This window comes from Homo sapiens, chromosome 2, assembly GCF_000001405.40.
Source record: "Homo sapiens chromosome 2, GRCh38.p14 Primary Assembly".
Classification (NCBI taxonomy): Eukaryota; Metazoa; Chordata; class Mammalia; order Primates; family Hominidae; genus Homo; species Homo sapiens.
Window position 1 is genome coordinate 31243593 of NC_000002.12, and position 22394 is coordinate 31265986.

At 50.0% G+C, this 22394-nt stretch overlaps 1 protein-coding gene and 1 long non-coding RNA gene across 3 annotated transcripts in view, besides 5 other annotated features; one reads left to right on the forward strand and one right to left on the reverse strand.

Annotated features, from left to right (window-relative positions):
• Window positions 1-22394, forward strand: part of EHD3 (EH domain containing 3) — a 35300-nt gene that overhangs the window by 9441 nt on the left and 3465 nt on the right. The window contains exons 2-5 of one of the 2 annotated variants that reach the window (NM_014600.3): window positions 682-858; window positions 5779-5876; window positions 16918-17330; window positions 17957-18121. In NM_014600.3, coding sequence (NP_055415.1) covers window positions 682-858; window positions 5779-5876; window positions 16918-17330; window positions 17957-18121 — 853 coding nt within the window. Of the gene's footprint in view, window positions 1-681; window positions 859-5778; window positions 5877-11324; window positions 11400-16917; window positions 17331-17956; window positions 18122-22394 lie in introns of those variants that run through there. The other variant, XM_011532806.3, reaches the window with a different exon arrangement.
• LOC124905983 (uncharacterized) lies at window positions 858-22348 on the reverse strand. Its single transcript, XR_007086270.1, has 4 exons — window positions 19776-22348; window positions 14064-14255; window positions 5756-6114; window positions 858-1260 (listed from the first exon to the last, which is right to left on the reverse strand). It is a non-coding gene; the product is annotated as an uncharacterized LOC124905983 (long non-coding RNA).
• Window positions 9134-9213: an enhancer, noted in NCBI's record as "active region_15549". NCBI's record gives its function as "activates an Ori minimal core promoter by ATAC-STARR-seq in GM12878 lymphoblastoid cells {active_cell/tissue: GM12878}" and the evidence as "EXISTENCE:reporter gene assay evidence [ECO:0000049][PMID:35858748]".
• Window positions 9254-9303: an enhancer, noted in NCBI's record as "active region_15550". NCBI's record gives its function as "activates an Ori minimal core promoter by ATAC-STARR-seq in GM12878 lymphoblastoid cells {active_cell/tissue: GM12878}" and the evidence as "EXISTENCE:reporter gene assay evidence [ECO:0000049][PMID:35858748]".
• Window positions 9584-9663: an enhancer, noted in NCBI's record as "active region_15551". NCBI's record gives its function as "activates an Ori minimal core promoter by ATAC-STARR-seq in GM12878 lymphoblastoid cells {active_cell/tissue: GM12878}" and the evidence as "EXISTENCE:reporter gene assay evidence [ECO:0000049][PMID:35858748]".
• Window positions 12615-13442: an enhancer, noted in NCBI's record as "H3K27ac-H3K4me1 hESC enhancer chr2:31479073-31479900 (GRCh37/hg19 assembly coordinates)". NCBI's record gives its function as "activates a minimal SCP1, AML or CMV promoter by ChIP-STARR-seq in naive H9 embryonic stem cells {active_cell/tissue: H9 hESC(naive)}" and the evidence as "EXISTENCE:reporter gene assay evidence [ECO:0000049][PMID:30033119]".
• Window positions 13528-13577: an enhancer, noted in NCBI's record as "active region_15552". NCBI's record gives its function as "activates an Ori minimal core promoter by ATAC-STARR-seq in GM12878 lymphoblastoid cells {active_cell/tissue: GM12878}" and the evidence as "EXISTENCE:reporter gene assay evidence [ECO:0000049][PMID:35858748]".

Consider the following 22394-nt stretch of genomic DNA (forward strand, 5'->3'; position numbering starts at 1 on the left):
ATTACAGGCACCTGCCACCATGCCCAGCTAATTTTTGTATTTTTAGTAGAGACAGGTTTCACCATGTTGGCCAGGCTGGTCTTGAACTCCTGACCTTGTGATCTGCCCACCTTGGCCTCCCAAAGTGCTGGGATTATAGGCGTGAGCCACCGCGCCTGGCCAGAGATTCATTTTTCATAGTGTACCTTTTATATTGTTTGTATTTTGTATCATATATGAGCTATTTTTATATTAAAGAACTAACCGGTTAAATAAAGACCTATGAAAACCCAGCAGAGTCTACGGAAGGTTTAGTTCTAACCATGCCTTTGTGTGGGTACTTCAGCAGGTTACCTTCAGTTATGGAGTCTGTAATACTCTGTGTAAGAATCATTTCAATCCATGCTTTGTTTTTGAGCCCAAACCTTGCTCCTTCTACCCCCGCCCACCAGCCCCCAACCAATTGAGAAAGGGAAAAAGATAAGGACCAAAAAACAGAATATTTTAAGTTCAGCTGAAATTCCACCTCCTCTACAAAGTTCTTTGGACTTGTTATCCAGCAGGCATTTCTCCCGGCCATGAGATCTTGCTGCGGTGGCCCTGCCCTCCCCTCTGACTCGCATGTTGTCTGCCTTATAGTAGACATGCCGTGTTGATCTTTGCGCAGAACGCCTGCATTAGGACTGTGCTTCTTCCTGCTAGGTACCTGCTGGAACAGGACTTCCCAGGCATGAGGATTGGGCCTGAGCCCACCACAGACTCCTTCATTGCGGTGATGCAGGGAGACATGGAGGGGATCATCCCTGGGAACGCCCTGGTGGTGGATCCCAAGAAACCCTTCAGGAAACTCAACGCCTTTGGCAACGCCTTCTTGAACAGGTGAGTGTGGAGGGAACACAACACTTTCAGGTGCTCTCTTTTCTTCTTGGGGTATGGGGAGTGAAAGAACAGTAGGCAGGGTCTTGGGATGCTTGGTGCCTAGAGTCTCCTGTCAATCTTTCCATACCTAGATTGTCCCTTGCTTGCTGAGAGTGTAACTGAGTCAGTTGTGAGATGCAGCAGCTGCAAATGCTGGGTTGATTCCTCCTTATCAGGGAGCAGGGAAGGATACAACAATGACTCAGGTCACATTCCCCTACCCTGCACCTACCCCTAGTAAAAGTGGAGGAGGATGCTCCATATAGTTCCCAGTATTTGCCTAAATATTCAGTGGCTGGGATTTGCATCCAACTGGAAGGAGGCAGACGAAGGTTCTTTTCTATTCACGGATATTGTTTCTACCTGGTGGGAAGAACCCTGGAATTAAGAGGGAAGCCTTGGGTTTGAGCACTAACTCTTCTACTAAATTGAATGACCTTGCACAGGTCACCTCTCTTCCCCCGGGACAAGTTCAGCCTTGCAGATACCAAGATCATCATGATGATGTGAATGGAGAAAGCTCTAGGAATGCTTGGCAAACTAATCTGGGCCTTCACATTAATTATTCTGTTTAACCAGAATGCAGGCTGATCCCCTGCTCACACTTATTACACTGATAAATCCAGTTTCACATGTGCATGGTAAATACTTTGAAAATAATTTTAAAACTACTTTTTCTAATTGGAGGTTTTTAGAGTAGAGGTAATGAATATGGGCTTTGCCTTCAGATAGACCTGGGTTCAAATCCTGCCTAATACTGTGGCTCTTGAACAAGTTACAAAACTTACTTGTTTCTAATTTTTCCCATCTGTAAATAGGATAATAGGAGTTAAAGGAGAAATAAGTGGGATAGTGAACAGAAAACACTTCGTGCCTGGCACATAGTAACCAACAGGTTAGTTAGTGATAGTGTTACTATGTCTTATTTCATTTGATTACTTAATTGTTTAGTGAATGGAATAGGCATCTGCTGTGGCCATTTTTCATTGTAGAAGTTGAGGCTCATTGCCCAAAGGATTCTCGATGTCTCTTATCCCAAATATATATATATATATATATATATATTTTTTTTTTTTTTTTTTTTTTGATGAGATGGAGTTTCACTCTTGTTGCCCAAGCTGGAGTGCAATGGCGCGATCTCAGCTCATCGCAAACTCTGCCTCCCAGGTTCAAGCAATTCTCCTGCCTCAGCCTCCCGAGTAGCTGGGATTACAGGCATGTGCCACCACGCCCGACTAATTTTGTGTTTTTTTTTTTTTTTTTTTTTTTTTAGTAGAGACAGGGTTTCTCCATGTTTGTCAGGCTGGTCTCGAACTCCCAACCTCAGGTGATTGACCTGCCTCAGCCTCCCAAAGTGCTGGGATTACAGGCGTGAGCCACCGTGCCTGGCCCCAAATAATATTTTTTATAAACCTATGAACTTGTCTCTGACCTTTCTTGTAGTGGCATGGAGTCAATAACAGTCTAAGACAGGGACAGGGAGACCACGACATGAATGAAATGTGGAACTGTGAGTGGCCAAGGTGTGCGCCCAGAGTAGGGAGCAGAGGAAGGGTCACGCTGAGAAATCTTGGGAACTTGGCCTGGCAGAGAGAGAGGCCCAGGCATGGGGCTTGGTTTATGTTGGGAATGAAGCTGAGGTCCCTTTAGGAAGAATGAGGAGGTCGTGGTGGTAAGGTGCAGTGGGGCAGGTGTCCTGGAGTCCAGGGGTGTCTCTTATACCTGGAACTGAGTAAGGAGGTCCTGGATGCCCAAAATGCTAAAATGCATAAATGGAGGGGGTGGGATGAGCATGATTCAGGAGAATGAGTCGCTGGAGCTGAAGAGAAGCAGGGATATCTGAGCAAGGGGGTAGGCAAGGAATTTGATTTTGGACACATTGAGTTTGCAGTGTTAGTGAGTCAGCTGAGGAGCATCGTCCTATCTGAAGGCAGAGAGGAGGAGCTGGACCCCAGGGGAGAGGAGGGAAAAGCCAGGGGGAGACAAGAGGAAACTGGGCTCATCACAAGAGAAGAGTACAGGTTTAGTGGTTAATGCCATTTTGGGATAATTGTGCTTATAATGATATAGTGTATTGTATTATATGTAATAGCATATAGCCTATTATGATAACAGAATTTAAGTGATTGCCATCATATGCTGGGTGCATTCCTGAGAGCTGAGCGCCCTTATGTCATTAATCAAACCCAGCAAGTCTCATTAACTCCATTGTTAAATGTATTGAAACCAGGTGGTGTGGGTGAGGTTGGGTGGGGGTGGTTTACTTTGAGTAAAGACACCTCTTTGAATATTATTATCTTCATCTAGAAAGTGATAAAATGTAAATAATCCATTCCTGCAAATGTTGTGTGTTGTGTGAAGAAGATCTGAGAGAGAAAGGAAAAAATATATAAATCTTTACAGTGGTTACCTTTTTTTTTTTTTTGAGACGAGGTCTTGCTCTGTCGCCCAGGCTGAAGTGCAGTGGCATGATCTCAGCTCACTTTAGCCTCCATCTCCTGGGTTCAGGCAATTTTCCCGCCTCAGCCTCCTGAATAGCTGGGGTTACAGGCATGCGCCACCACGCCTGGCTAATTTTTGTATTTTTAGTAGAGACAGGGTTTCACCATGTTGGCCAGGCTGGTCACAAACTCCTGGCCTCAAGTGATCCGCCCACCTTGGCCTCCCAAAGTGCTGGGTTTACAGGTGTGAGCCTGTAACCGGCCTACAGTGGTTCCATTTAGGAAGTGGAATTGAGCAGGGCAGAAGGATAGAGAAGAGGAACACCTTCCTATTTCATTTTATGCCTTGCTGGACCATGTTTTGGTTTTTTGTTTTGTTTTGTTTTTTGTTTGTTTGTTTTTTACCATGTGCATATATTTTACAAAAAAAAAAATTATAAAGAAAATATATAGGAAGGTGTTGTGAAACAAATAACATGCACATAAAAGGTGATACTATTAAGGGGTCAGGAATCTCTCTCTAAATCTGTGATTTCAATGAATAAAATGAAGGTGACTGAGGCAAGATCCTGCATTTCCAGAGTGACTTGGTGTCTGGCCTGGAGAGCAGACATTGACAAGGAAAGAAATGTGGCCACAGGAGGGGCTGTGTCTCCTGCCTCCTTCCCAGGTATCTTACTAAGGGATAGAATTCGTGTTTTATTTCAACAGACACCAGGCCCCTAGCGGCCTTGGGCTCTATTCTGTGGGGGAATATAAGGCTGATCCAGTCCAGTGGGCACAGGCTTGGAAAGAGCCAGTGATAACCCAGGCAAGAGGAAGAGCAGGCCTGACGAGGCCTTTGTGGGAAAGTTGGCATTTGACCCTGACATTAAATGATGAGTGAAGTGGCACCAACAGTGTAAAAAAAAGAGGACATTCCCAGCAGAAAATACTGAAGAGAGAAAGAGGAGAAAATATGCATCACCAGAGAAGAATGATGAAAGAATGTGGCTTACTGCAGGCACCTATGAAATCGTGAGGTTCTGAGATTTTCTCCAGGAGCACGCAGCCGCTGAAGTAGTGGATGTTTAGGTTGGCTGGGAGTCTGCCAGGCATGTCCATTGAAACGACAACAGGGAATGATGTTGCATCCCTCTTGCATGTGCCACCAGCTTCACTGCAGTCCACACAAGGTGCTGCACCTTAGATTTGTCCGCACAAGGTGCTGCACCTTAGATTTCCAGGTTCCTGTCTCTATGCTGCTGAGTGGTCCTATTTCACACCCCTTGTCTGCTCCCCTTCCCTCGCTTCTCTTAAATAACACTTGACTGCTTTCCTAATAGAGATATTTGGCCTTTAAATGCCCAAATAAATGTTCCTGGGTGGTTCCCATTCTTCGAGGCCAGCTCCAGTGCCTCCTCCTCCAGGAAGCCCTCCCTCTGCCTCCAGGAAGCCATCTCTCTGCCTTGAATCTTCCAAACACTACATCTGACTTCTCTCAGGGTGCTGGTCCCATTGCACTGTGTATTCTGCTTGTCCATGTACAGGCCTCCTGGCCTCCTGTCCTGCACCAGGCTGTGCTCCTTGGAGACAGGGATCGAGGTTTGGATATCTTAGTGTCCCCAACAGCAGGAGTTGGCAAGCATGAACCATGGCTGCCTCACAATCATCCAGGGAGCTTCCTCAAGGCATAGAGCCTGAGTGAGACCCACTTCTGGGGCTGGGGCTGGGATTCTGGCCTGGCTCCTGGGAGTCTCCATTTTAAGCCAGCCAGGCTTGTGATCCTCTGGCCATAGCACCCAGCCTGTTATCTTGCACAGAGTAGGGCCTCAGTTACTGTTGAATGATACCCCATTTACAAATGAGGACATAAACAGAGAAGCACAGCCACTTGGCCCACAAGGATCAAATCAGAAGGAGGCTCCCCAGACCCTGACTCTGCAGTGATGGTTTGGGACAGACCCTTGAAGTCCCTCCTGCCCCGCTAGTCCCTAGGGGCTCATTTGAAGAGGAGCCAGGGGGTCTTCTCATTGGCTATCTAAAGAAGCTAAGGTTCCTAGAGAGGGCCAAGCTAAGTGGAGTAACTCAAGGCAAGGAGGTAGCTGACCAAGGACAAACTAAGGACTTGGGGCCATAAGAATTAAACCCAGGCTTTGATCACACATGAAGACCCAATGTCGCTATGGAGTAGCCCTGCTTGCTGGTCACACAGCATTTTACCAAACACACCCGGGTGCAGGGCGCTCTTAACACTGGATGTGGGGAGAGGCAAGAGGACTGGGGTTCAGCCCCGGGTCAGCTGTCAGCCACACCCTGAACTGGGCAAGTCCATGGTGAACTAAACCCTTCAGGATGCACCTGCAGCTCACCTGAGAGAGACAAGACAGGTGGTTGGAGTCATGCGGCTAGGTCATGAAAGGTGGGCGAGTACTCACCCAGGTTACCTCTGCCCATGCAGGTTCGTGTGTGCCCAGCTACCTAACCCTGTGCTGGAGAGCATCAGCGTCATCGACACACCAGGGATCCTCTCTGGGGAGAAGCAGAGGATCAGCCGGGGTAAGCAACCTGCCTGAGGGGTGTTGGCTGTGGGCTCCATGGTTCTGGCACGTTCAGTCTCTTACATACCAGAAGAGAAGCACCCAGGGCCATGCTGTCCCTTGGTGAGCCGGCACTTCTCCTGTGCTGTGTGGGATCATTTTACCTGGGGCAGTCCTAGGCCGGGGTTGGCAGGGGTCGGGAGAGGGGAATTCAGGTCCACCGTAGCTCAGGAGATAGCTGGCCTCAGTCTTCTCATCTGTAAAATGAAGACATCAATATCAGTCTTACCTCGTTGGGTTTATTCATGCTACAAGGGGCACCTTCCATGGCCCTGATCCTGGCTTGCTTCTTAAGTTCCTGGGGAGCTTGCAGCTCTGCAGGGCAGCCAAATGCATACAGAGAAATTCAGCTCAATGGTATCAGTGCCCTGGGTCATAAGAGGAGGGAACCAGGTAGTGAAAGCACTTCAAAAACTGTTCACTACAGATAAATACAGGATAATTGCTCATTAAAGGAGGTTGCCTGGTATGGTGGTTAGAAGACAGAACTCTGGAGTCAGGCTGGCAGGGTTCTAAGCCTGCCTCTGCCACTTCATAGCACAGTGACCCTCAGCAGGTTTCTTTATTTCAGTTACTTTGTCTGAAAAATGGTGTGGGGCGGTGGGGGCGGGTGGGGTGGGAATAGTATTATCCATCTTACAGAGTTGTTTGAAGATTAAAAGAAATGCTTAAGATAAAAAGCCTTTTCTGGTTGGCACATAGCAAGTACCTAGTAACCATGAGGGATTATAGATGATCATCATCATCATCGTTGTTTTCTTTTTTTTTTTTTTTTTGAGACAGAGTCTCAGTCTGTTGCCAGGCTGGAGTGCAGTGGCACGATCTCAGCTCACCGCAACCTCTGCCTCCCGGGTTCAAGCGATTCTCCTGCCTCAGCCTCCCAAGTAGCTGGGATTACAGGCGTGCACCACCACACCCAGCTAATTTTTTGTATTTTTAGTAGAGACGGAGTTTTACCATGTTGGCCAGAATGGTCTCGATCTCCTGACCTCGTAATCCACCTACCTTGGCCTCCCAAAGTGTTGGGGATTACAGGCGGGAACCACCGCACCCAGCCTGTTTTCTTTTTTCTAACTCTAAAATGCTAGGCAGATGCTATCAAAAGCTAAAAACAACTGCTCTGGGCCCCCACCCCCAGCCTGTCCTGGCACAGTTTGCTGAGTGTCCTGTATAGCCCACTACCCTCTCTGTGCCATGTGTTGTATCTCTGGCAAGAAAATCAGATGACGCCATGCCCACCCCAATATTGGAGCTAGTTGCCAGGGCTGGAGCCACATCAGCACTCAGAAGTCAGCCTATGGGTAAGGAAGGGCTTTGAACTGCTGGGGTTCTCTGGGAAGCAGCTAGAACTCTTGCCTGAATGGACCTAGGTAGGTGACTGTCTGCATGTGCCTTCACCCTCTGTGCTCTGTGGCTCTGGCTGGGACACAGATCTGCCCTGCCCATGTCTGTGCCACAATAGTGGGGCCCAGAAACCTTTGCTCTTTCTGCAAGAGCATGGCCTGCCCAGGCCAGCACTGCTCACCCCAGACCCCTCAGAGGAGAGGTCACAGCCTCATGGTGTGACAGGCCAGTGCTCCTGCAGTTGTGTATTGACGAGGCCCAAGTGGTGCAGGCCCTTGGCCCAGGTGCAGGCCACTAGTGCCAGACCTGGGCTTCTGTCCAGTGCTCCTGTGAGCTGCCTTGGTGTCCTCTCTGCAGAAAGCAGCTCTCTTCTGATGAGGGCAGGTGTGTGGTGCAGGGCCAGGCTCGGCTCTTTGAGGCTACACTATGCCTGTGTGTGAGCTGCCATGGCTGGGAGTGGAAAGGGAAGACAGTGAGAGAGGCCCTCCAGGTCAGCAGCCTGCTCAAGGGCCAGGTTAACCCGAGTCAGCCCTCCAGGGAAGACACAGCCTGGAGTCCTCATCCTGTAGCAGGTGGGAGGGAGTGGGGAGGCTGAACATCCTGAGAGGAAAGCCCTGCCCTTCCTCCTTACCACCTCTTGCTTTGCTTAGGAGGTGAGACCTGGGAAGAAGAGGGGAAATGAAGCAACTGAGTCAGGAGGGACTTGGGAAACTGTGTTAGCAGTTCCTGTAATTGGTGGCCTGTGAATTCTGGGACATCACAGTGTCACCTGGGAAGGGGGTCTTGGAAGACTTGATCTCCTGGCTCCCTATCTCTGGGCTGTATGGTGGAGGTGATAGGGAGCTGGAACCCCTGGCCTGGGAAAATAGGGATGTCTGAGCCTCCCTCCTTCCAGCCAGCACGCACGCTGTAAGCACCTGGCTCCCTGTTAAGGGCCCTGTGGAGGGACAGCACGGGTGGTTTTTCTGTCTTGCTTTGGTTTGTTTGCCGGAGCACCCCCTTTCTCCTAACCCACCTATTCCCAACCCCAAGTGGTTCATCTGGGGTTTACCCTGCGTTTAAGCCTGAAGGGGATTTGCTGTTTCACTCAGGCAGCTCAGGACTCCTCCAGGAAGGCTGGGGAAAGCCACCCCTTCCCAGTGTGAACTCCCTGGGGGACGTCACATGTGCACCTGCAAGGCCAGTGTAGCCTGACCAGCGGGTCCAGAGAGGACTCCAGCCTCTGCGGTTTCCAAGGACACTGTACTAGGAATTCAGAGTTCTGGGCTTTAGAACCTGTGTGTGTCTCAACAGGTCACATTTTCAGTGTCCCCATGTGTAACAAGGGGTAATGATATGTACCACACAGCCGTCTTGTGAGGTCTATAGACCATATGAAAACACGGGCCATAGCCCTGGGTCTGGATCACCATGAGCTACCTTCCTCCCTCCCTCCCTGTCAGTTGGCACCACCTATCATACAATCCCAGAGTAATCTGTGTGAATAGTTTCCCTTGTAGTTGTGCAGTGCACAGCCTGTGCACCTGTATGTGGCAGGCTGGTTCCCAGGGACTCCTGCCTTCCTCAGTTCCTATCCTATTCTATTCTTTTCCTATTTCTGTTTTTGTTGTTGTTGTTGTTGTTGCTGTTGTTGTTGTTTTGAGACGGAGTCTCGCTCTGTCACCAAGCTGGACTGCAATGGCGTAATCTCGGCTCACTGCAACCTCTGCCTCCTGAGTTCAAGCGATTCTCCTGCCTCAGCCTCCTGAGTAGCTGGGACGACAGGCATGCGCCACCACACCCAGCTAATTTTTGTATTTTTAGTAGAGACGGGGTTTCACTACCTCTCTCCTGCCTTTGTCTTTGGACCCCAGTGACTGCCTTAAGCAAATTAGGCCCTTGGTGTTCTTGCCTGCACTTCCTAATGCCTCCCATCCCACATTGACTAAGCACCAGGTCCCCCTACCTCTGGGAGAAATGATGGCCCCAGGAGTGGCTTTGCAGGCCAGTTTGTTTTCTGCTTTCCTGAGTCCAGACTGTAAATGCAGCTGCTGGCAAAAGCAGCCTGCGTTAAAAACAAGAGCTAGAACTGGGCTGCTGGCGCCTGGGGCGGTGCTGACCTCAGCACCCTGAGGAGACCAGGACAGTTGGGGGAAGGGCGTCAGACACCCTCAGTTATCTGTGGTACCCCAAACGAGTAAAGTTTCCAGGGTGCAGAGCCCAACCCCTTTCTTTCTCACAATTGGCCTTAGAACACATAGCTCCAGTTTAAACTGACGCACACCTCCCCCACCCTCCCCCACCCATACCTCCTTTTACGCACACACCCACTCCCACACCCACACATGCATACACACTCCTCACACATATCCTGCATATACACAACTCCCCTCTTCCCCACAGCAACCCCCTCCCACACACACACACACACACACACACACACACACAAATGTGTGCATAGAACAAAACTTGCTTTCTCATGGCTTCTTGCCTAGGGCTCCAAGAGCTCTGGGTTTGGCCACAGAGCAGACTGGGTGCTTCTCGCCTTACTCCAGCCAGCCCAGGCAAGGACCGGACACCCTTCCTCCCTGGGATAGTCCTGCCAACTATGTCCTACACGAGGGCATCTAGAACCTGAAACTCAGCCCACCTTCTGCTCACTGAGCCTCATACCTGGCGCAGGGCTGTGTCTCACCAGATAAAAAGGGGCATGGTTATCAAGTCGGCACAGAGGCCCCTACTGGCCATATTAGACTGCCTGTTCTGCAAAGTGAGCTGCTTCCCAGGGCTCCAAGACCTCAGGCTTCACAGGAAGGAGCACTCGGGCCCCAGGCTGGACTAGGGCGGCAAAGGGTCGTCCTTGCTCAGGGTGTGGACCCTCTACTGGGCCTGGGGCGGGGTGTGTCTTGTGGGAAGAAGGCTGGGGTGCCCGGGAAGCTGATTCTGGGAGGTCCTGGGCCAGCACTTGTCTCTGGATGCAGATGCATTGGGGTGGGCAGGGGAGGAAGACAGGGAGGTGGTTCCTGGAAGTGGCAGGATGTGCCCCAGCCTGGCTCATTACTGGGAAGAAGTGAGGATGCAGCAGGAGTGGGAGGGCTCCAGAAGGCTGAGTGTCCTGAGCTTAGGAACCACATTTCCTGGCTGCTTCCCAGCTAGAAATCCCCATAGGCGCCACCTTAGGAAAGCAGGGCGGGGCTTTGTGCTCACATCACAGACTGCACAGCTTGAAGCTCCTCCCCACAGGCCCCTTTCTGCACAGGTGAGCTCAGTAAGGCCAGAGCAGGTTGAAAATTTGCCCGGATCACACATCTAGGGAACTCGGGTCTTCCTATTCCTGGTCCACGGCTTCTCAGCACATTATCATCACCTGCCCCGGAAGAGCACAGGGGGTAGGAATGAGGGCAAACCTCTCATCTCCAGGTTTCCTCTAGGGGTCTTTAGGGCTCAGACCTTGGCAGGTCTGGGCTGATCCTTGCAGCCTCACATTCCTAGCCCATCCAGGGCACCCTCATTGGAGCAGAGCCTGCACTTAAAGGCCTCTGGGTCTTCCCAGACTACGTGCCGGTACAGGCACGCCTGTGTGGGCGCTCCTGTGCCTGGGCAGAGCAGCCGAGTCCTGACGCCCTTCAAAAGGCCTTGCCAACCATCTGCTCGGGCCGCTCTTTGCCGTTACTTCTGGGAAGCATCTAATGTGGCATTTCTTCCCCGTTGTCAGCCAAACTCTTCCCACATTTTGGAAATTGATGCCTTGTTATTCCTCTTTTGCTCAAATGCCTTTAAATCTTGACGGAGATTTTTTTGGGGAGGGATGGGGTTTTGTATGTACCCACCGCAAGTAAGTGCCTGGTTTGAGGGCTCAGCCTCTGAGCTTCAGGCTCACATGGCTGTGAGCTGTTATAGAAAGAGAATGTGGGCTGCAAGTCAAGGAGCTGGGTTCCAGGCCTGAGTTTGCCACCACCTGGCTGTGTGAGCTTGGGCAAGCCCCTTAATCTCTTTGTGTCCAGATTCCCTGTCCTGTAAGATGTGTATGCCCTACTTACCTCCTGGGATACAGAGAATTATGAAGAGCGAATGAGGTCACGTGGCTGGAAACCCGAAGAAGTATGCTGCCCTGTGAGGGCCCAGGCACTGCATGCCAGGCCATGATGGAAGCCGGCGGGTGAGGAAGGGGTGGCTTTCCTTACTGTGTTTGTCTGATTGATTTCCTCTTGCCTGGCATTACTTCAAAGTGCTTTCTTTCCAGTCATCTGGAGCCTCCGGTTGGAGGGGACCATAGATCCCTGCAGGCTGCCCAGTCTCCAGGCCCGGAGCTGGCTGACTAGACCTCTTAGAGCCAGCAGACTTGTGCTATGAAGTCCAGGAAGGGCAGCTTCTCTGCTCTGTCTCTTGGGGCTTGAATCTCCCCCGACTCACTAGTCCATATTTCATGAACACTTGGGCTGCCGCAGGTGCCCAAGAGCTACCGTTGTGGGTCTCAGAGCCATCGCTGGGACCAGAGAGGGGAAGGGGGCCTGTCACTGGCCATAGCACTCACCGCAGCTGCTGAGGCAGTCTGTGCTGTCAGATCTTGTTGCCACAGCTCTACCACAGAGTCCTCATTCAGCTCTACCACAGACCCCTCATTCAGTCATTTGTTATCCCTATTTTGCAGCTGAGAAAATTGAGGTTCAGATTTGCCAAATAAATGAGAAAGCTAATCCTATACCATACCCTTTTTCTTACTGGGTCCAGTCCATACCTTTGAGATACCGCCATTCCTAGATCTGCACCTAAGTCCAGGCCAAGTGAACAACTAAATATCCACCCTACAGATGACACAGCCTCGGGGTTAGCCAGGAGCAGGGAAGTCGAGCTTCAGAGCAACCCATGGAGTCATTGCTTGATGGTCATGGTCTTCACAGCCACACCTGGCTGGAAGCTTCTGGCATTACTGAGTCTGTAATTGGATAGCAGCTTTCCAGAGCAAATAGGAGGCCTCTGCTTATAAAATCACGGAAAGAGTTCCCAGAAGCCCTTGGCCTGTCCTCAGGCAGAGGCAGACTTCACACAGGCATCCCCGAGGCCTGTAAGACAGCAGCCTGCAGCCTCTCTCTCTTGCTGTGCCTGCAAAGGGTCCCTTGTAGCTAATCTCCATCCATCCTGTTGTACTCCCCACCCTCACACCTCTGGTCTCAGATGCAGAGAATTGTGAACCGAGAAAGGAAGCTCGGAGGTTGTCCAGCTCAATCCCCTGATTTGACAGGCAAAGAGACAGAGGACTAGAGAGGGGAGATTCTTGCCCAAGGACACACAGTAAGTTAGTGGCTAAGCGGAAACGAGAGGTGGACTCACCCAGGCCAGTGCTCCTCTGGTGACTCCTACAGAGCACATCCCATCTCATAGAAACTAGGGCTTAAAAGGAGTGCTTTACAAAAAACAGCAGGGCAATGAGAACAGCCAAGGTCACAGCTCAGCAGTTTCACCTGCATCCTCTGATTTGTTTAGATCCTCACAATAACCCTACGACTGAGTCACTGATTCCTCAACCATAAAACTGAGGCCCAGAGATTACTCATTTACTGTCTCCCAGATGCCAAACGTGGAACAGGTTTCCACGTTTTCCACGTTTCACTTCCGTTCAGCAAATACTGATAGTGCACCTGCTGTGTGCCACACACCGTGCTGGGTGCAGGGGAAGCCCAGAAGGGTGAGGTGCTGCCCCTGCCCTGTCCAGCTCCCAGTGCACCGAGGATGATTTCAGTGAGCTGAAGAGCAGAACAGGAGCGTGCATGATGCTACAAGACCACTGAGGGCAGGGACAGGGATAGGCAGGGGTCTATCCTGTTCTGGCAGCATGGACATATTGCTGCCCCTCAGCCTTTGCAGACACAGCCTTCTCTTACATCGCTGGTGTCATCAGGGATTGCAGCAAGTTGCAGGGACAGAGCCTCTTCCCTTCTCTGCAGCTTCTCTGGTGTCTTTGTTTTCCCCAGCCTGGTGGAGGCGTGGCTACAGTGCAAGAGTTGAGTTTGGAGTTCAGGTCTTGGCTCTGACCCCCAGCATTGCATGGCCTTGGGCCTTTCTCTCACCCTCTATAAACCTCCATTACCTTGTCAGCATAGGACTCAACACTGGCTGCCCTGGCTGCCTTAGCCTGTTCTGAGCCATTGAGCCAATATATTGGGGCTGAGATTTGCTGGACAGGTGAGAGGGAGCTGCAGCCCAGTCTTGGTCCTCCCAGCAGCCCCTCCTGTGGCCTGCACTGGCACAGCTAAAATCCAGATTGGGGAATAAGGAGCAGCAGAAGGCCAGAGGCCTGGCAGGGAGTTGTGGAGGGTCCCTACTGCCCTCCTGCTGTGAGCTGTTTGCAGAGGTGGGGGTTGGGGATTTTCTTAGCCCTCTGGCCCCTCCCTACCCACAGCTCTGAGGGACTGCCTTTGGGAGGTGACAGCAGCCTTGCCATGCGCTGTGCTGAAGGGAAGATAAAAATAGGCTGGAGCCATCCCTGGGAAGGGAAGGATGGACAGAGGGATGTAGGAAGGAGGGGAGTAGTGCGGGCTGCAGGCTTCACCTGAAGTGGGAATGCTTAGGCTTCCCGGGCTCCAGTGAGGAGCTGGCTGTGCCTGCGTGCCAGGGAGGGAGGGAGGGAGGCAGGGAGCGGCCAGGTGCAGAACGGCTGGATGGCTGACAGCTGGGTCATCTGGCCTCACGACTTGCCAACTGTTTGACTCTCTCCTCTCTGAACCTCAGTTTCCTCCCCTGGAAGTGAGAACGATACTCCTCGCGCTGCCTGCCTCAGAGCGTGTCGTGAGGGTGACATGAGATAATGACATGAACATCTTACCGTCTGCAGCAAGCACTGAACTTCGAGTTGGAGGCTAGGGGTCGTGTCTCATGGGTGGTATTGGCTGAGTCACTTAACTCCTAGAGTTTGCGTGAACATCTCCGAGGGAGGGTTGATGATGCCCCTGCCCACTGGGCAGAGCAGCCTCTGAAGCACTTTCCTGGGCCTTGTCTCTGAGCCGAGACAGGACACCTGTGTTCAAAAGAGAAGGCAAAATCTAGTTCACACCAGGCCCTCGATGACGCACCCATCAGGAACTATCCTCAGGATGGCACCTGGAGATACTGGGCCAGCTCTGCCCCTTCCTGAGCCTCAGTTTCCCTATCTGTAAATCAGGAAGTTGGACCATTGATGGCTAAGCTCCTCGTAGCCTCATAGGTCTACGCCACAGGAGCAGGGGGAGAAGGCTCAGGTGTTAGTTGAGCTGTATATTCATTGAGCAGCTGACAGATCTTGGAGAAAATCACATGGCAATGGGAATGCTTGGAAGCACTTCATTTACCAAAGACAGAGGAGCTGAAAATGGAGTAGTACTGGCATCCGGGTAACCAAAGGAGGGTTTGACCTTCCTTTGTTTGTTAGAATTCTCTTACAGCCACCAGGGAAACATTACAGGGGTCCTCCAGGAAGCTTTAGGGCAGCAAGTTTTCCCGACCGTCTGATCCCATCCCCCTACCCCCTGTGGCAGTGCCTCCACACGTCCTAAATATGTACCCCACTGGGTGTTCACTAGATGCCACAGGGTGGGGGAAAGGCTTTTTAAACCTAGCTCCGTTGGCTCCATTCATCCTCATCCCCCACCCCATCGATGCCTGCTACTTAGTCTGAAATGACAGCCTTTGAAAGTGAAAGCCAACTCGGTGCAGTGGTTCATAGCACTGACTCCAGGGCTACCTTCCTGGACTTGAGTCCCAGCCCATTGCTTACCAGCTGGGTGACCTTAGACAAGTTCCTTTATCTGTTTGTATCTCTGGTTACTCCTCAGAGAAGTGGGGCTGATATTAGTGTCTAATGACCCTACACAGAGTCATCGTGAGGATTAAAGGAATGAATGATTATAAAGTACTTAGGTCAGTGCTGAACACCTTTTGAATGCTATTGTTATTTTTATGGGCCAGTGGTATTCAAAGTGTGGCCCTTGGACCAACAGCATCAGAATCTCCTGGGAGCTTGTTAGAAATGCTCTGCGCCAGACCTACTGAATCAGAAACTTTGGGGATAGAGTCCAACCATCTGGGTTTTAAGAAGCCCTGGGGGGATTCTGATGGAGGCTAAGTCAGGACCCCTGTTAAAGACAGTCAGAGCTTCTTAAGTCTGACTCACTCACAAGGCAGTTGCCTGATGATCTTGCCTGGTCTCTAGCCTCCCTCTGTGAGGCAGGGCAGGCTTTTTCCTAATGATTTGGTTTCCCATTCGATGGTGGCAATGAGCTTTGGGTCCCCAGTGTGTGTCACCTTGGAACCCTTGTGCTATGGGGAGCCAGGATGGTTGGTCACTTTAGTACCCAAGAAAGGGCTCCTACCTTGGTGCCAGAGGTATGCCACGGGGGAGTGGCAGGAGGAGAGGCTGAGAACCCTGCTCAGACTCAGAATGGGAAAGCCTAACACCTCCATCTTCATGCGACTGCTGCTGCTCATGGGCTGTGTGCCCTTCGACAAATCACTTGACTTCTCTGAGCCCCACTTCCTTATCTCTTGTCTTCCTATTTTATGTAAGAGGAGCCTGAGACACAGAGGTAAGACCTACTGGGGCTCTGGGTGTCAGTGAATGTATAGACTATTGGTCCACCCTCCTACTTCAGCTCCTACTGGATCCACAGCTACTTGGGATTGAGCAGAACAACTTCTCTGGGGCTCCTGTAACCAGTCTGACCTAAAGCAGCTTAGTGCTAGATAACCAAGATGCGGGTGGCCAGAGTTCCAGTCACATCCTAAGGAAGAAACCCCTTGTGGTTTCAAGAGTTGGGAATTTTGTGCTGCAGCTGATTACAAAGGAAAGAGCCTGAGTGAGAACAAGATGTTTTTATAACAAGAATTGCAGATTTCTTCCAGACCAGTGACAGGCATGGTCTGAACCATCATCAGTATCTACTTTTTAGTGTTTCATTGTTTTCAGACCTTAGAAAGAATTTCTGGGTCTTTGTGTCAGATTAGGTGTCCAGACTTTCTTTTCCAGCGGGCTGCTAAATACAGTAAGCACGGATAGGGGAGCTGGTATGGAAATAATGACGTTAATAAGAGTTACTAGGCCAGGCGCAGTGGCTGGCTGGGGGCGGTGGCTCACACCTATAATCCCAGCACTTTGGGAGGCCAAGGCAGGCGCATCACCTGAGGTCAGGAGTTCAAGACTCAGCCTGGCTAACATGGTTAAACCTGTCTCTACTAAAAACACAAAAATTAGACGGGCATGGTGGCGCATGCCTGTAATCCCAGCTACTCGGGAGGCTGAGGCAGGAAAATCACTTGACCCCAGGAGGCAGAGGTTGCAGTGAGCAGAGGCAGTGCCACTACACTCCAGCCTGGGTGAGAGAGCAAGACTCCGTCTCAAAAAAAAAAGTAACTAGCATTTACTGAGCACCTACTAAGTGCCGGATTCTAAGAGTATTTAATCTTCATAGTTCTATTAACTAGGTATTCATATTATTTTAGTATTTAACAGTATTTTTAGACGAAAAAAATTCTATGAGACATTGAGTAATTTGCTGGAGTCCAAACAGTTAAAATGTGGAGGAGCCAGGATTTAAACTTAGATCTGACTCCCAAGACTGTGTTATTTCTACCACACCCGACTGCTTCTCCAAACCCCTACCCTATACCCCAAAGGCCCCAGCCCCTGATTGTCCCTCTGCCGGCAGGGTATGACTTTGCAGCTGTCCTTGAGTGGTTTGCCGAGCGGGTTGACCGCATCATTCTGCTCTTCGATGCCCACAAACTGGACATCTCTGATGAGTTCTCAGAAGTCATCAAAGCCCTCAAGAACCACGAGGACAAGATGCGAGTGGTGCTGAACAAAGCTGACCAGATCGAGACGCAGCAGCTGATGCGGGTGTACGGGGCCCTCATGTGGTCCTTGGGGAAGATCGTGAACACCCCAGAGGTGATCCGGGTCTACATCGGCTCCTTCTGGTCCCACCCCCTCCTCATCCCTGACAACCGGAAGCTCTTTGAGGCTGAGGAACAGGACCTATTCAGGGACATCCAGAGTCTGCCCCGAAATGCTGCCCTGCGCAAGCTCAACGACCTCATCAAAAGGGCCAGGCTGGCCAAGGTGAGGCAGCCCCCTGGGAGGTGGGCAGCTTGGGCAGGGGCCCAGAGTTTGGGGTCAGCTGCACGAGCTGAGGGTTGCTGCCTCCAACAGCCAGTGCATCATGTGTGTGACACCAAGGGGCAGGACAGTGCGGGAGCCATGGTTACAAGCTCTCAGGTCAGATGGCCAGATTGGAACTGACTCCATTGTTTACTGTCTGTGGGATTCCCAGCCTTGGCAAGGCCTTTAGTCTCTCTGTGCCTCTGTTTGCATCTGTAAAATGAAGGGGTTGTTGGAGGATAAAGTGAAATAAAGAGTCTCAAAGCCCTCATCACAGTGTCTGGCACCTTCAGAGATGCTCAGCAACTGTCAGCTGCTGGTATTGCCTTCAGCAGCAGCAACATGACCACCTCACCCTGCCTTGACCATAGCTCCCCACAACCTCACCTTGCCCACATAACATAGAAAAACAGCCCAGCCCTGCAAGCAACATGGAGCCATGAGGGTAGAGGTAGAAATTATTTCAAAAGTAGGAGCAGGAGGAGGCGGGAGGGATGTAGGGGAAGGAATGATGCAAGAGCCATCCTAGAAGGAAGGGACCGTCCAGGGTCTTGATGTGAAGGCTTCTCTCTGGCCCTGTTTGTCAGGTCCACGCCTACATCATCAGCTCTCTGAAGAAGGAGATGCCCTCGGTGTTCGGGAAGGACAACAAGAAGAAGGAGCTGGTCAACAACCTGGCCGAGATCTATGGCCGGATCGAGCGGGAGCACCAGATCTCACCTGGGGACTTCCCCAATCTGAAGAGGATGCAGGTAGCGAGGGCTGGGGTCTCTAAGACAAGGGACAGTGTCCCGAGAGCTGGCTGAGCAGCCTGAGTATGGAGGAGGCCACTCTTGGAGCCCCCCAGGGAGAACCCCGCCCAGAATCTGCAGGCAAGGAGGTGGCCCTGGATCTACACTCCTAGCTGGGCCATCACTGGCCCAACAGGGGCCATGTCTGGGCCTGGGGAGAAACACGGAGCCCACCGCCCCAGTGGTGCAGGTGTGTTAGATGATGCTGGGGGGCTGACACCTCCAGTTAATGACCTTCTCTAGTCACAGCCACCACAGGCTTGACGTCCCCACCATCTCTGGTGCAGTGGGATGGGTCACCTGACCAAGGTTCTCCAGGCTCTTAAAGTGCTCGAGTTTACATCTGAGGTCCCCCTTGTGAGCAATCTGGGACACGAGCTTCGGGGAGGCAGAAGTGCACACGGGAACTCGTCATCTTTGGGTCCTATTGCAGGTGCCTATCTTGGGCCAGTGGCCATCACACATGGTTTCTTACGGTTTTCCCCAAAGCACTCATCAGAGGGAGGCATTTTTCATCTGCCTTTTTACAGAAGAAACAGAGGTCTCAGCATTTTCTGAGTGTAGCATTCACATAGGCCACAAGAAGAAGAGCCAGGAGCTGGGCCCAAAGGTCCAAGCAGGAAACCACAACATTGACTGGATCCTCTGAGCCTCCATTTCCTCATCTGTAAACTGAAGCTACAAAATCACGCCTTATACAGGTGTTGTGAGCATCAGTGAGATAATCTTTGCAAAGCCCTTAGCACAAAGCCAGACAGACTATGCCCTTAGTACACAGTAGCAAATCATTAGGTGGGCAGAGGGAGGTGGGTGCTGAGCACAAAGCACCCACCCACTGTACAATGTTTGCAACTTCTTATGATTCTAGAATTAGGAAATTAGAGGCCAGGCACAGTGGCTCACGCCTGTAATCCCAGCAGTTTGGGAAGCCGAGGCGGGCAGATCACCTGAGGCCAGGAGTTCGAGACCAGCCTGGCCAACATGGCAAAACTTGTAATAAAACTACAAAAAAATTAACTGGGCATGGTGGCAAGCACCTGTAATCCCAGCTACTCGGGAGGCTGAGGCATGAGAATCACTTGAACCCAGGAGTCAGAGGTTGCAGTGAGCCAAGATTGTGCCACTGCACTTTAGCCTGGGCAACAGAGAAAGACTCCATCTCAAAAAATAAAAAAATTAGGGAATTAGAAAAATCAAAAAATAGCAGCCACAGAAGCACTTAATAGATGCTGTTGCTCTTGTTTTGATCTTTAGCTTGGGAATCAGTTTCTCAGTTTAAATCTAGGTTTTTCATAACATCACTATAGTCCTCAATAGGCATTTTTAGTTTCCTATCCGGCAGAAGAAAAAGAAAAAAATATACATTCCAAGTATTTGGAATTTGTTCATGTGTCCATTCACTCATATAACCACCTACCACGAGCCATTCACTAACCAGCATTGCTTTTGTTTTGCGGGTTTCCCGGTCCTTGACTTGGAGCACTTCAGCTCTTCGCTTCTGCTTTTGTTAAGAATTTAATGATTTGTAAGCAAACATTTGGGAAGATAACATTTGAAAGGGACCCTAAGACCCCAGTTTTAATGTGAGGAATTCTTTCAAAACAAAGATTCTCACCTCATTTGTTTGCCAGTTCAATATTCTGTTCTGCAGTTCAATATGCTGAATCCACAATGTAAACAGCTGTCCTGTGTGGGTGTCCATCGTAGGGTAATGGGAGCACCCACCATGCCCCCTAGTTGATACTGGGACCCCTGCATGGGAGCCCACCAAACATACCTAGATGTGAGCAGGCTGGGAGGGACAGGAGGAATGAGAGGTGGGAGGACCTTGGGACGTGATGCTCTGAGGGGTGGGAGATAGGGCCCTGTCTGCTCCTCCTCCAGGAGTCCTTCAGCCCTAAGGCCTTCCTGGCTCAGCCTCACCCTAGGAAGGAGGTGAGAAGTACCCAGGCTAACACTTGCCCTAGAAAGCTGTGGGTGTTTTTTGCATTTTTCTGCAGCAGACTAGCTGTGCTTCACCCTGTGTACTGGCCTCTTCCCAGCTTCTGGAGAGTTAGGTGGCCAGAGCCAGGGTAGGAGCAGAAAGCTGTCACCCTATCACCCTCTACAGGCCATGGAGAAGTTGGTGTTCTAGACTCGAAAACTTTCAAAATTGCAGAGACCTGCAAAGTGGAAGATATTTCTTTTATGGTGTGGTGTGGGTTGTCATGTGAAGGCAAGAGGAGCTCTTTCAAAATCGGCATGCCCACCTGCCTGCCTGTGCCTGCTGTGTCAAACCCTCGGGGACAGTCATGCCTTGCTAATGACAGGGACACATCCTCAGTAATGCATTGTTAGGTGATTTTGTCATTGTGTGTGAACACCATAGAATGTATATACACAAACCTGCATGGTAGGGCCTACCACACACCTGGACTATATGGTATGATGACCTATTGCTTCTAGGCCACAGACCTAGCATGTGACTGTACTGAAGGCTGTAGGCAATTGTAACACCATGTATTTGTGTATCTAAACATAGAAATGGTACAGTAAAAATACAGTATGAAAGATAAACAGTGGTATACTTGTACAGGGCACTTACCATGAATGGAGCTTGCAGAACTGGAAGTTGCTTTGGGTGGGCCAGTGAGTGAGTGGTGAGTGAGTGTGAAGGCCTAGGACATCACTGTACACTGCTGTAGACTTCTTTAGAAACACTGTACACTTAGGCTACACTATATTTATTTTTAGAAACATTTTCTTTCTTCAATAATAAATTAACATTTCTACTTTACAGACTTTTTTTTTTTTTTTTTTTTGATACAGAGTCTCACTCTGTTGCTAGGCTAGAGTGCAGTGGCGCGATCTCGGCTCACTGCAACCTCCAACTCTGGGTTCAAGCGATTCTCCTCAGCCTCCCGAGTAGCTGGGACCACAGGCATGTGCCACCATGCCCAGCTAAATTTTTTTTGTAATTTTAGTAGAGACGGGGTTTTCACCATGTTGGCCAGGATGGTCTCGATCTCTTGACCTCGTGATCCGCCTGCCTCAGCCTCCCAAAGTGCTGGGATTACAGGCATGAGCCACCGCGCCTAGCCTACAAAGTTTTTGACTCTTGTTGTAACAATTAGCTTAAAATGTACATTGTATATCTATACACAAATATTTTCTTTATATCCTTATTCTATAAGTTTTTTCTATTTAAAAAAATTTATTTTTTACTTTTTTATTTTTGTGTGTGCTAAAAACTAAGATGCAAACACCCATGCTAGTCTAGGCCTACACAGGGTCAGCATCATCAGTTTCGCTGTCTTCACCTCCACATCTTGTCCCACTGGAAGGTCTTGAGAGATAGTAATACACATGGAGGTGTCATCTCCTGTAATAACAATGCCTTCTTCTGGAATTCCTCCTGAAGGGCCTGCCTGAGGTTGTTTTACTGTTAACATTTTTTTTAAATAAGTAGAAAGAATACACCCTAAAATAACAATAAAAAGTACAGTATAGTAAATATTTACATAAACCAGTAACATAGCCGTTATCATTATCCGGTATTATGTACTCTATGGAAATGTGTGTGCTAGATTTTTATACCACTGGCAGCACAGTAGGTTTGTTTACACCAGCATCACCACAAACACATAATGCGTTGTGTTGTGTACAGTAGCTACAATGTCACCAGGCAACAGGAATTTCCCAGCTCCCTTATTGTCTTCTGGGACCCTCGTCATACGTGTGGTCCCTCATTGACTGAAACATTGTAATGCAGCACATGACTGTATTTTGAAAACTCTCCTCAGGTGACTCCGATGAGCATCCTGATTAAGAACCATAATTTGGGGATGACCTTTGGCTTCTGTTATGATTTGGTTTTAGTACCCTGTGCCCTGTTTGGTTTTTGTTTTTGTTTTCACTAAGTGGGGATAGAATGTGATTTTCCTACCTCAGAAGGGCGCTGGGGGAGTGAACGAGGTAATGTAGTGAAGGCACTTGCGGTGATTTTCAAGTACAGTATAACCCTTATTAAAGTAGAGGCCCACATGACCCAGTCTCAGAGGTACAGCATTCAAGAGACATGATTCAATAGCCAAAACTGACTTAAAGAGAAATGTAATGATTTCCTCTCTGGAATGACATTGAAGGGGATTGAAATAAATAGATCATGCCAATACTTGTTAAATTTCCCTTTCTTCCCCAGCCCCTACAACCCTTCTACCCCCTACTGAAAAATCCCATCATCAGCCCAGTGGGC